Raw genomic sequence first — 14573 nt, 5'->3', positions numbered from 1 at the left:
TTGTTTGAAAAAAAATGCGTCATCTATGTTGGGAAAACATATATTTTAAAAAGGACCTTTTGTTTACGTTACTCATTGTGTGCAGTTACGAATACCACCTATTGTTATAACAGGGCAGATAAACTGTGCATTTTACTAATAGGCTACTATAGGAGCTGACCAACCCACAAAAGCCCCAAACACATTTAATGATGAATTACATAGTAGGTGCTCAATGACTGTTGTTGATGAGCTGATTTATTGTGCTTGTTACTAATTCTTGGTTTCCTTGACATAAAATAGTAGTTTTCTCCTTTTTTATTGAGTATGAAATTCTCGTAACTGTCTATCTAACGGAACCTGGGAAGCTTTTGTTTTCAAGTGTTATAAAGTGTCAGAGTTTCCCAGGCATGTAGAGTTTTAATAATTGTTTCTGTAATGTTGCAAAGAACTTTCCCACATCTCATTAATATCGGCAGGCTCCTGTACCTTCCTTCCTTTCCTTGACTTAATTAAGACAGCTCCATACTGAGAGTGAAAGAGAAAGGCCGCAGTCTTATTCAACAGCACAACAGCTTAACCATAAGCCAACGCCAATCAGGAACATTAACTGTAAATGATTACAGCTGGCTAGCCACAGAATATCCTACCAGCTGTGCATACTATCTCTTTGAAGTCCTGAAGCACAGCCTGCCAGTGATGAGTGCTCAGCATCTTCACATGTGAATATGCAGCAATATTTTCTCTCTAGTATATATTTACCCTAACTCCTTCTTTACAACGTTCCCTAGAGTAAGCGTTTAAATTGCAAATGAAATTGAAAGCCTTCAGTGACTTGCCGTCATATGACCTCTTAGCTGGACATCTGTGGTTTTACAGGTCAGGATCCAAGTCTATGCTCCAGCCTCCTCTCTTGACACCTGATCTCATTTAGTCCATGAATCATCAGACTGAGCTACTCACTGTGACTTTGCAGAGTTTATCTTTGCCTAGATATTCTCTGTATCAGTCTGTTCTTGTGCTTTTATAAAGAAATACCTGAGACTGTGTAATTTATAAAGAAAAGAGGTTTAATTGACTCACATTTCTGCAGGCTATGCAGGAAGCATGGCTGAGGAGGCCTCAGGAAACTTACGATCATGCATGAAGCCGAAGAGGAAGGAGGCAGATCTTCACACAGCCAGAGCAGGAGGAAGATAGTGAAGAGGGAGGTGCTACACACTTTTAAACAAACAGATCTCGCGAGAACGCACTCACTATCCTGAGAACAGCAAGGGGAAATCTGCCCCCGTGACCAATTCACCTCCCACCAGGCCTTTTCTCCAAACTGGAAATTACAATTCTACATGAGATATCGGAGGGAACACACATTCAAACCATATCAGTCTTCCTCTCCTTTTCTACTTGGCTAATTTTCGCTTATTTTCAGCTCACATCTTGAAGCCCTCATGAAATCTTTCCCTTTTTTCCACGCAGTTAATTATTTCCTCTTACCATATATATGCCCCGATAACATCATAATTGTCATAGTCAGTTATTTGCCCGTTTCTTCTTCCTCAGGGGTGGAAATTAGAGTTTGTACCTTGTCCAGCCCCAAACATTTTGCCTTGTACATTGTGGATGTTCCATCAATACTTAATGAATGTGTAGCTCTTGCCAGTGTTTTCATTTTGATATTATTTCATAAAATACTACTCTCATATCTGAAATAAATTTTTTCTTTAAATATTTTATGGACCAAAATAGCACATAATTTAAGGCACCCTTTTTGTCTTATATAAGAACTTGTAGTTGACATGTGAGCATAGAATGAACATAGAATAAAAAAAATGAACAATAATTAATCCATGACATGACTGTGGAAGACATTACACATCCCATATGAAAGTTTACTTTGCAAAACATATAAGAGGCTTTAGTTCCCCAGACAGGCAATAAAATATCCTTTTCTGGTAGTTAGGAACATTGAAAGTCACAAAAGTCTTATGAGCCTAATGAAATCTTTCTTAATGAAGTTTAATTCTGCTTCTTGGTTCATTCCTCAGTGGTAATTGATAGTGGCTGAGTCTCATCAATCAATTAACAAATTAGCAAGTACTGTTTATTGAGTTCTTACTACACGGTCAGCACTGTAATTACAAAATTGGGAAATATAAGAAGTGTAACACATCATTTTTTTTTGCAGTTTCCATTTACTTATGAGATGCTTCATGAAAAAATCATTCATTCATTAATTTAAAAATATTTATTAAGAATCTGATTTGTTTTAGGGACTTGGCAATGGGCTTGAGTTACAGGAAGAAGACTGCTCTCCATAAGAAATGCAGAAATACAATCTATCCCCTCACAAAATGTACTCTTTCTGTTATGAACACTTGCGTCAAACTGTCCTGAGTTTTATTTGAAGCACACATGTTGGCCATATTCTGTTGCTGCAGTAGAAATATGGGTGATAGAATGGCATTGGTTGTTGTATGATTCAGTAATCTGTTACCATAATACTAGTACATAGAAAATACCCTAAAATCTTAGTAGATTAAAAAAACCTACTGACTATTTCTCTCAAACTAATAGGCAAGTTGGTTCTGCTGAGCTGGGCATGGTGGGGCTTACTCTTGTGGCTGTGGTTAGCTGTGGATTGACTAGGTGGCTTTGCTGACACTGGCAGGGCATGCTCAGGTGTCTAGGGTTTCACCTGGGATACCTGCCTAGACTGTGCATATTGTGTCTCATCTTCCAGTCATCTAGCCTGGCCATACTGGCATGTTCTCAAGTCAAAGGCAGAGGAGAAAAATGGAGAGAGGAAGAGCAGAAATATGCAAGGGATTTTTCAAGCAGCCTTTGCTTGAATCAAAGTTACTACTATTCCATTGGCCAAAGCGAATGGCTTGGCCAAGCTCAGAATCAGAGTGTATACCAAAGGGCATAGATACAGAAAGACATGAGAAATTTGGTCCACTAATAGAATCAATATGCCACACTAGAGTCGCTAATCACTGAGAGTTAGGTTCCAAGTCAAAGTGACTAGCACCTTTATGTTAAAGATTTTTTTCAGTTACTACCACTTTAAATACAGAAGGTAACGGAGGTTGGACTAATTCTGATTAAGCAGATGATGATCTAATGGAGATGACCAGAGGCCCACTAATAACACATGAGCATCCCTATTAACAATTAAGTCTTTCTGGGTAAAGATGAGGGTTACAGGGGTATGAAGAATCTCCCACCCCTTGCCATATCATGGATCTGTCCCTGAACCTCATGTGTGAACTATAGGTATACAGACATTTCTCTGTGCCAGCTGCCGCCTTTATCTGGTTCTTTTTGGAAAGGTAATTTACCATTATCATGCTTAATTGAGGGGACATCATACCCAGGAGTTCTGAGTTATTGCATTTTTCAAGTTACACACTATTGTGAGTTGAATTGTGTCCCTCCAAAAGATCTGTGGAAGTACTAACCCTCAGTACTTCAGCATGTGATCTTATTTGAAAATGAGTTGCAAATGAAATTGGTTATGATGAAGTCACAAGGGAGTAGGAAGAAACTCAACGTGACTGGCATCCTTATAAGAGGAGAGAAACACGTGGAGAGAAGAATCTGAAGGAGCAGAGAAATGCGGGGAAAGAAGACCATCAAATGACAGAGGCAGAGATTGGAGTGATGTGTCTACAAGCCAAGGAATGCTAAGGATTGCTGATAAATGTCAGCAGCTGGAAGAGATGCATGGAACAGATTCTCCCTTAGAACCCTCAAAAAAAAAAAAAAAAAAAAAAACAACTAACCCTGCCAACACCTTGACTTCAGGTTTCTAGACTCTGGAACTGTGAGACAATGAGTTTCTCTTGTCTTCAGGCACCAGTTTGTGGTACTTTGTTATAGCAGCCTTAGGAAACTGATACAGATTTTTGTTCCAAGAAGAGGGGTGTTGCTGTAACAAATACCTAAAACTGTGCAAGTGGCTTTGAACTTGGGCAATGGATAGAGGCTGAATTTTGAGGTGCATGATAGAAAAGCCTAGATTGCCTTGAAGAGACTCTTGGCAGAAATATGAACATTAAAGGCAGTTCTGGGGCTCAAAAAGAAGTGAGGAGGGCTGCAGAGAAAGCTCCTATCATCTTAGAGAATACACAAACAGAATGTTACTAAAAATAGGAAGGGTAAAGCTGCCTCTGGTGAGGTTGCAAGCAGATCTGAGGAGCATGTTTTTGTAAAATGGAGGAAACACAGCTCTTGTTATTAAGTGGCCGAGAACTTGGCTGAATTGTGTTCTGCTGTTCAGCAGTGAGAAGTAGAATGTGCAAGTAATGAACTTGGATATTTAGCTGGGGAGATTTCCAAGAAAAATATGGAAGGTGAAGCCTGGTTTGTCTTTGGTGCCTATTATAAACTACTAGAAGAAATGGATACATTGTAGAATTAAGTGGTAAGCAAAAAGGAGCCAGAACTTGATATTTTGGAAAAAACTTTAGTGTATCCAGGTAGCGTATTCTATTAACGGTCAAGGATGTGCCTAGACAAAAGTTTGCTACAGAGATTAGGTGTGTGACTCTTGTATCCAATCAACCATCTCAGCAGATGCTAGGAACAGAGATGCTGTTATCCAGGAAATATCTGTGGAGAGTCTTTGTATCTAATGGTGTGGATCTCTTATGACACCAACATCTACAGGAGAACAACCAATAGGGTCAAAGACCAAATTTTTGAGATTTTTATACTAGCAGAAACACAGCCAGCCTGGACTGAAAGGGACAGAGATGGAATAAAATGAAGGAAGAATGACTCAGGGGGCACAGCTATGAATGCAGAGGCCAGAAAGAGTACCAGGGGACAGGGCTCCTGCCTCCTTAATTCCAGAAAATGCGGCTGCCACCCAGAGCTGAGGGGATGGTGCTGCCCTAGTGGTCCCAGAAGACAGAACATCAAGCCTCAGTAAATTAGTCTTACGCCTCGGAACCCAATGGAATTTGTCCTGCGGGGTTGCAAACTTGCCTTAGACTGGTGACTCCTTTATTCCTTCCAATTTCTCCCTTTTGGAATGGGAATATCTATTCTATGGCTGTTCCACCATTGCATTTTGGAAGCACATAACTTGTTTGGTTTCACGGGTCCACAGATGGAGAGAGGAATTTTGCCACAAGATGGAGCCTATCTAGAATCTGACTTGTATATGGGTAGAGTTTGGATGATTTAGATCATGAGAGCTAGTACTTTTTTAGTTGGCTATATTTAGATGAGGTTTTGGACTTAGAATTGATGCTGGAATAGGTTAAGGCTTTTGAAGATGTTGGGATGGAAGTGAATGTATTTTGCTTCCAAGAAGGACAGGAATTTGGGGTGCAGGGACAGAGAGGGCAGACGGTTATGGGTCTTGCGTACCTCAAAAGATATATTGAAGTGCCAGCCCTCAGTAGCCCAGAATGTGGCCTTATTTGAAAATAGGGTCATTACAGATGCTGTTAGTTAAGAAGAGGTAATACTGTAGTATGGTGGAAACTTAATTCAATATGACTGGAGCTATAGACTGAATGGTCCTCCGCTCATATGTTAAAATCCCAACCTCCAATGTAATGATATTAGGGGGTGGGGCCTTTGGGAGGTGATTTGATCATAAGGGTAGAGTCCTCATGAATGGGATAGTGCCCTTATTAAGAGGAGACATGGGAGAATATATTCTCGCTCGCTCGCTTGCTCGCTCCATTATGTTGGGATACAAAAAGAGAGCTCTGTAAACCAGAACCAGTAAGAGGGACTTCACCAAGAACCCAACCATATTGGCACCCTGATCTCACACTTTCCACTTTCAGAACTACGAGAAATAAATATTTGCTGTTTAAGCCACCCAGTCACTGGTATTTTTGTTACAGCAGCCTGAACTAAGGCAAATGATGTCCTTATAAGAAGAGATAGACACAGGAGAATGCGACGTGAAGACATACAGAAATGCAGGGAGAAGATGACCATGAGATGGCAGAGGCAGAGATTGGACTGTTTCATCTACAAGCCAGGGAACGCCAAAGATTGCTGCCAAAATCCTACTAGGAAAGAGGCATATAACAGATTATCCCTTAGATCCCTCAGAAGGAACCGGCCCTGTGGACACTTTAATTTCAGATTTCTACCCTCCAGAATTGTGACAGAATAAATTTCTGTTGTTTTAAGCCATCCAGTTTGTGGAGGTGGGTTTAGAATTGAGTAATGGGTGGGACTAGCCCCAGGAGAGCTGTCCTGGGCATGGTAGCAATGTCTGAAGCCCGCCAGAACTAGAGACACCATTTGATCTTTTTTTCTGTGTGACCACCTCTCTAAGTACGGCACAGCTTTTAAAAAATTCTCAAAACCCACGTCTTATTTAGACCATTCTCCCAGGACTATTGGAGTTTTTATTCACTGTGCACCTGTGCTTCCAAGGAGTGCCAACATCAGTGATTCCAGAATGACTGGCTCACAGTATTTTTACTGTGACTGTTTTTGGCTACTTCACTGGCTTAAAAAAAAATCACACATTTCATGTCTATGCACCTTCTGGTGTGGCCACTTACTAACTATCCATCCAAATAATTTCACCTTTTGAGGCTTTGAGCAAGTCGCATCTCCTCTGACATTCGGGCAAGCACTGAAGCCACTATAGAATACATATACATCTGCAGCCTCTTCTCTCTTCTAACTCCTTCAACATTTATTACAAGTGCCCCCACGAGAGCCTGCTGTCAGCTTATTCTCTAGCTACCAAAGGGGATTAGGATTCTTGCCTATAACCATAGTTTCACTTTTTTTTAATATCCCCAAGGTGCCTAGTACATTTTAGGGAACATATTGGTGCTGTTAACTTGCTGATTAACTGATTCTTGACCTTTTCATCAGAGAAGGGCTTGTCATAAATCTGTGGAGAAAATTCTCTGTAGGTTTGTTCATAGGTGGTGGTGTTGCGGTGGGGAAAGGTATATAAAAGGGAGGGAAAATGCATTACACAGAGCTGGCAAGGTAGCTGCCTCTGTGGTCCAAGGACTATCTGTCCCAGAAGTCTACCAAAGGGCCTGGAATGGTTAGCATTAGTGTCACTTAATGAGTTTTGAGAGATACCGAATTTTAACTGGTAAATGGGTGACCTAAAAGATTGGCAAACTACCACAGGAGAAATGCTATTGTGTGAGTATTCATTCATTGCTTCAGTAGTATACAGCCCAGACGGAACAGAAGGTGAGGAAGTGAAGTTCCAATCATGAAGTAGTTATCGAGTAAACAAACAAACAAAAAACTCCCTTTGCTTCAGAAGGTAGTCTTTGAATGACTGAAGGCATTGTGGGGGCCTCAGGAGTGGATGGCGGTTAATCAGCAGGAAGATAGCAAAAGCCAAAAGGTAAAAGGAGAAGCTATAGGGAACATATTGCCTTTTTTTTTTTAACGGAGTTTTGCTCTTGCGCCTAGGGTGGAGTGCAATGGCGCGATCTTGGCTCACTGAAATCTCTGCCCCCTGGGTTCAAAGGATTCTATTGCCTTAGCCTCCCTAGTAGCTGGGATTACAGGAACCCACCACCATGCCTGTCTAATTTTGTATTTTTAGTAAAGAGGGGGTTTCACTATGTTGGTCAGGCTGGTCTCCAACTCCTGACCTCCGGTGGTCCACCCACCTGGCCTCCCAAAGTGCTGGGATTACAGGCGTGAGCCACTGTGGCCAGCCCAAAATTTTCCAGTTTCCTAAGGCTGACACATGGTGGGAGAATTGAGGTGTCCACAGTAAGGACCATTCCTTTTCCCTGCTGTGGTTCCCTGTAGTTTCAGGGCACAGACATCTGGATTCCTGCTTCATTTGTGAAAGCTTTAACGTTACAGAGAATTAACCATGAATGCATTTTTTATTATCTTTTTTTTTTTTTTAACCGAGCCCAGGGAGCTTTTCATAGAAGCAATTAAAAGCATCTTCAGCTTTGATTCACTCCTTTGCAGTATTTTGGTTTTAAATCAGACACTTGAGTTCTCTATAAAAATAGTAAGCAAATTTCACAACCCCAAATACACATTTTAAAGTCTAAATGTCCATAAATTATATTTAGGACAAATCAGGATTAGCTGCAGTGTGTAAGTTAAAAAAAGTCCCCATAAATTATGAATATATTTTAATTTGGAATTATTAAATGATTTTTAAGCAAATCAAAGTATTTTGTACTAACATGAAACTTCACTATAAGAAAAGTACTTTTTGATGCCAATATTTTTCTTCATGTTTAAATAAAAAGGAAAATAGATTTTTGAAACAGCAGGTAACCCTTGAAGTACTAACATTACTCCCAAAGAAACCATCCAGTCATTTCAGATTTATAACGCTCAGAAATAATCTCATAAAATTAAGGACCCTGGAATTGAAATTCTCTGATCTAAACGGATTTTCGTGTTTGTCTGGATCTTTCTGATTTGTGAAGACTGTAGTTTGAAACTGTTAAATTAACTTTAGCCTAAAGATGCCTTGTTAAATATTTTAGATTTGGCCTAAAGATTTCTGCAAACATAGTGAATTGTGAGTTAACTGGAGGTAGAAGCCGACTGTAACCTACTCTTGTGCCAATCACAGAGTTTTGTCCAATCACAGGCAGCTAACTGTTCCAACCGAGTTAAAATAAGACAAATGGTGTGCTGTAACCAACCCAGCTGTTTCTGTACCTTACTTCTATTTTCTGTATATGACTTTCCTTTTTCTGTCTGTAACTATTATCTGACCATGTGGCAGCCCTGGAGTTGCCCTGAACCTATTTTGGTTCTAGGGGCTGGTGTATTTGTGAATTGTTCTTTGATCAATTAAATGCTGTTAAATTTAATTTGTCCTAAATTTTTCATTTAACAAAACTGTTAAACAAGATAGAAAAACCAGGCAGATAACACTTCTCTAAATCTTTGGTACGGCAATGTTAAGTAACTGGCCTTTCCCAGTCAATCATTCATGCTGTTAATGCCCTATTACCTGGTAAATACGTTAACTATTTTCCTGAATACTACAAGAAACTGGAATATAACACATTACTTTCTGTGACGGTATTCAACCACCAGCCAAGAGATAAAGTGAATTTTATTTGAAGAGCGACTCTGAAAACTTCTCCATTATCTGTCTTAAAATACTGTATTGCAGATCACTAAGAAAATGAATGTACTGTTTTAGAAAATATAAAATATGATATCAATGTTTAACAGACAGAGAGACACTTTCCTCCATAATTTTAGCCCCTTTGCCCATGTAAAGCTGAGGATGCCAAATAGGTATGCCTTTTCATTCAGAAGGAAGGCAGGCAGCTCACAGAAGAATCCCTCCTGGCTATTTTGTAAGCCTAATACAATTCTCTCTGTTTTCTTGACATTTGCTTTTGACACCCCGACCAGTTTCTTATCTTGTTTAGGATCCCTGTGGAGTCAATCTAAAGGCAGAATGAGAGGAGAAAGGAGTCCAGTTGTTAAGTAGTGGCCAAGAAAGATGACCTACATTCCTGCTCCTGATGGTTAGGCCCGTCAACCTGGAGTGGGTCCGTGTAGGTCATTGCAAGGAGTGCAAGACGCAGAACTTGTCTACAAGAAAGGAATTTTCAAGGGGCTTTGGGAATAGTTTCTCTTGCTGAAAGAAATAAGCCATCTCTGAAGGAAAGAAAAGAGAAAGGTTTTGAAATAAAATATAAACTCCCTCCTGTGCATTTAGACTCTAAAGTCTGCAGGTAAACAAGACAGCAGGGAGCATTTCCACACAGTGTGAGGAGAGAAGCAAGGAGCAGAGATTACCACTTGTTACAGCACTTGACATTAATTAAACCTGTTTTAAATAAAGAAGGTATAAGATTATTTTTATATTGCATGCAATATTTACACTAATTATGCCAAATGCTCAAACCATTTTCTATAACTAACTCATCTGTTATATGAATTTACTTCATAAATTCATGTATTTTGGAATCCAACAGGATACGTCAGCAAAGGAGTCGAGCATGGCTTTACTCTGTGCGTGAAATTAAAAAGTCCTGCTGGAGAGAGGTAGTCCCTCCTTTCCACAGCAAATTCTGCTTCTGTTTCTTTCTCCCCTGTGGAATCATTAGTGAGCAACATTCCCCCATAGCACACAGGGGTTGGGAGTCATCTTCTCTGCTTTCTCAGCTTGTGGCCTGGAATATTATTTTCTGGGGCTGAAACCCTGACCAAGGGCTACTTCCTGTTTTTCATTGGTTTCCTGTATCCATTGAGTTCCAGTGCTTCCAATTATTAGGTTGGCGCAAAAGTAATTGCAGCTTTTGCAATTACTTTAAATGGCAAAACTGCAATATGAGCATAGTAAGATAACAATGGAAGTCATTCCATAGCACCTAAGGATCCCTGCTCCCCACTCCATCCAGGCATCAGCTTCTCTTCCAGGCTCTTGTAGCTGCTTCTCCTTCTCCCCATGCCTCTTCACACATGCCAAGTGCTTGACCTGGAAGACTATTCCCTCTCCTTTTTGCTTCATTACATCAATTCCAACTTCCCATATCTCTATAAACCTTTCTTTATGGGACACAGCACAATGACAATTACACGTTTGTGAACATGATTATTTGATTAACTTTGTTTCTCCTACTGGAATATGAACCTCACAGGGGCAGAGGTATATCTGTTTTGGTTCACCAGTGTATCTCAGGGCCTCGCATTAATCTCAGAGGCCTCGCATAGAAAAGGTACATAAAAATGTGTGAGATAAATGAGTAGATGAATCAATGGAGCAAATGAATTAATAAAAATGTTATTTCCATTTTAAGTATTGCTTCCACCTTTTGTCTCAAATTGTTCTTCTGCTCATAATACCCTCTGGTTTTTCAATCTTTTGATTACCTTCTTGCATCCATTGAGAAAGGTCAAGCCCTGCCTCCTGCATGAAGCACTTCTTTCTTCAATATCACATGTCATGGATATACGTGACTTTGCATTTCATGGTAGCTTATTCCACACCCCCACAACACTTTTAAAATTTGCCTTCCCTACAAGATTGTGGGTTTGTGATGACACAGATACTTCCTATCACACTGAGGACAACACCTGACACATAGACAATGCACAAATAAACTTGGTTTCTGGATTTCTTTGGGATTCTCAAGCTATATGAAATGGTACATTTATAGCTATAACAATTACTGCTCCCGTCTTAAAAAATATGGGTTGGGTTGAGTTAGGGAAGGGAGATGAGGGTAATGGCACAGTGACGATTGCATCTGTGAACCCCCAAAATTTGAGACAGGTCTCAGTTAATTTAGAAAGTTTATTTTGCCAAGGTTAAGGACACGCCCGTGACACAGCATGAGGAAGTCCTGATGACATGTGCCCGAGGTGGTTGGGGCACAGCTTGGTTTTATATATTTTAGGGAGACATGAGACTTCAATCAATAGCTATAAGAATTACAACTCAAAGCAGGGAGGGGGCTTCCAGGTCACAGGTGGGTGAGAGACAAATGGTTGCATTCTCTTGACCTTCTGATACACCTTTCCAAAGGAGGCAATCAGAATATGCATCCATCTCATTGAGCAGAGGGATGACTTTGAATACAATAGGAGACAGATTTGCCCTGAGCAGTTCCCAGCTTGAATTTTCCATTTAGCTTAGTGATTTTGGGGAACGCCAAATATTTTCCTTTCACACATCTGTCTAGTTAAGTCCAGTTAGGAAAACACAAATCACACAAGTTATTTTAAGAAAGGATTTAATACAGGGAATTGGTTAACCATCTATGAGGAACTGAAGAAGTGAAAAGGGAGCAATAAGGTAGCATAGTGTAAAAAGTAAAGTAGAGGTTCCTCTTCAAAGACTTTCCTTCCTGTCTAATTAGGAATAAATAGTAACTTCTCTTAGAAGCAAAATTTATTCAAAGACCTGTGCTAACATTCTTAAATATGTGCTAGCCGTAATAAAGAAATCAATATACTTTATGTTCTTAGCTCCCACAATTTAGCCTAAATATTTGCTTATACTGATCCAAGGAAGCATTAGATCATAGCCTGTTCCTCTTCCTTATTTAAAAGTGTTTTTACCTCTCTCAGCATTCCACAAGTTACTTCCTCCTTCCTTTGTTCTCCTCTACCTTTGCCTCTTTTAAAAAGTTCTAAGTTGCTAGCCAATAGGGACAAATACAGAATGTGAGGTCCCATTCCAGCCAATGGAAACCGGACACAGCACAGGGTGGACGCGTCAGGTTATAAATGACCCTGTCTCCTTTGTTCCGTGTAGTCTGCTGGCAAAACTGCTGGCAAGTGTACCCTTTCTGCAGGAAGTAAAAATGGCCTTACTAAATAAATTAATGTTCAAGTGCTATTTCTTTACGGCACTGAAAAACAAACATTTCAGGCCCGGCGCAGTGGCTCACGCCTGTAATCCCAGCACTTTGGGAGGCCGAGGTGGGCGGATCACGAGGTCAGGAGATGCAGATCATCCTGGCTAACACGGTGAAACCCCGTCTCTACTAAAAATACAAAAAACTAGCCGGGCGTGGTGGCGGATGCCTGTAGTCCCAGCTACCCGGGAGGCTGAGGCAGGAGAATGGCGTGAACCCAGGAGGCGGAGCTTGCAGTGAGCCGAGATGGTGCCACTGCATTGCACTCCAGCCTGGGTGGCAGAGTGAGACTCTGTCTCAAAAAAAAAAAAAAAAGAAAGAAAAACAAACATTTCAAACCATAGCAATAGCAAATACGGGTGGCAACTGCCATTCTCAGGGTTGGAAACAGAGGGAAGAAGTTGGAGTTACTGGAATCTAGAAGCTTAGAGGAGGGGCTTTCTGAATCTGAGACTCACCTCTCCAGGGAGATTATGCTGTTTGATTGGTGCTGGTATCTCTTAAGAGTTACAAGGATGCTGGTCTTGGAGTGAGCAAAAGGGTGAAAACTGGAACCGACTGCTACTGGAATGATCTGTGACTGCTGGGATGATGCTGATAGAGACAGGAAGCGCTAATGGGTCTCTCTCCCTTTATCTGCCTTTTCATCTTCATCCTAATGGCAGAGTTTAACAACTTTAAAGAAAAAGTGTAGCTTGAAGAATTTCCAGCCTGAGCATTGCAAAGCAGAATACAAATGGGTAGGTACAGAGCTCAGAGACAATGGCTTAATAACTGACACAGGGACTTAGAGGAAGAATGAAACCTCCTGTTCCAATAAACTGTCAGAAATAACACAGAGACTTGGAAAAATATATGTAACATAATAACCCTTATTTAAATTATTCAGTACAATATCACCTTTAATATTTGCTGTTTTTAACATAGAAGTTTCTACATAATGATTATTTTGGGACTAGTTTTTTATTCTTTCCACAGAATCATAATCAGTCAATTATTTCACCATGAAATTCTCTGGGGGAAAAAGAATTTTCTAGATTTAAGAGAAAATACACCCAGATGTGGTGGCTCACACCTGTAATCCCAGCACTTTGGGAGGCCGAGGTGAGTGGATCATCTGAAGTCAGGAGTTTGAGATCAGCCTGGCCAATATGGTGAAACCCTATCTCTACTAAAAATTAAAAAAAAAAAATTAACTGGGCGTGGTGGCATGTGCCTGTTATCCCAGCTACTTGGAAACCCAAGACAGGAGAATTGCTTCAACCTGGGAGGCGGAGGTCGCAGGGAGCCTTGATCGTGCCACTGCACTCTAGCCTGGGTGACAGAGCAAGACTCTATTTCAAAAAAAAAAAAAAAAAAAAAAAATCAAACAAACAAACAAACAAAAACCTTTTCCTTCTGGTCAGAAAACGCTTATTAGTAGAACATTTCAGGATCATGAATAAGTACTCAAATTATGAGAATAAAACTTACGCAATTAAACATTAAAACTGTGTGAAACAAGTGACTCGAGTTTGTCTTTTATAGGGTATTTGTCAAGGTGCTAACATTGTACTCCTGAGTGATAGGATTGGGAGGGGGGCATATCAATTTCTAGTACTATATTTTTCAGCCCTTCCAAGTCTTCCTGGATATTTTCTGTTCCAGGCCTCCTCCCACCCCCCCACCATTCCACACACACACTCAAATCCAATCTCCACCTTCCTGTACCCTGTTGTGCATCCTAGGACATGGACACCTAGGGACTTCATCACTGCTATGGTCTGAATAATGGTGTCCCCCCCAAATTCATATGTTGAAACTTAATCCTCAATACAATAGTATTAAGAGGTGGGCCTTTGGGAGGTGATTAGGTAATGAGAACTCTGTTCTTATGAATGGGATTAGCACCCTTTTAAAAGGGGTTGGAGGGGGCTTGCTTCCCCTTCCACCATGTGAAGACATAGCAAGAAGGTGCTGTAAAGAGAAACAGGTTCTTCGCAGACACAGAACCTGCTGGCGCCTTGATCTTGAACTTCCCAGCCTCTAGAACTGTGAGAAATTTCTGTTGTTTATAAATTACCCAGTCTATGGAATTGTGTTATAGTAGCTGAACAGACTAAGATAATTATCCATACTCTCATGCCACCTGGGTTCCAGTTGGATTTGACCAGTGGGATGCCCTAGCAGTAGAACGGAGGAGGGTAAGAGAGGGAGGCTGAGAAACATCTTCCTGACTTCCTGTTCAGCTGTTTTGTTGCAGTGGCCACCATCTCTTCTTGATTACTG

General features: G+C 40.6%; 1 protein-coding gene and 1 long non-coding RNA gene across 5 annotated transcripts in view; one reads left to right on the top strand and one right to left on the bottom strand.

The window, feature by feature from the left end:
* The window catches only part of TUSC3 (tumor suppressor candidate 3), a 434904-nt gene extending 433724 nt beyond the window's left edge, over positions 1-1180 (bottom strand). For all 4 annotated transcript variants that reach the window (NM_001413670.1, NM_001413672.1, NM_001413671.1 and 1 more), the window contains exon 1: positions 1063-1180. The gene's annotated coding sequence lies outside the window, so the exon portion shown is untranslated. The remainder of the gene's footprint in view (positions 1-1062) is intronic.
* Positions 1-14573, top strand: part of LOC124902059 (uncharacterized) — a 59776-nt gene that overhangs the window by 26681 nt on the left and 18522 nt on the right. The gene's annotated exons all lie outside the window — the stretch shown is intronic.

This window comes from Homo sapiens, chromosome 8 (assembly GCF_000001405.40).
Source record: "Homo sapiens chromosome 8, GRCh38.p14 Primary Assembly".
Classification (NCBI taxonomy): domain Eukaryota; kingdom Metazoa; phylum Chordata; class Mammalia; order Primates; family Hominidae; genus Homo; species Homo sapiens.
This window is presented reverse-complemented; position numbering and strand designations above follow the sequence as displayed.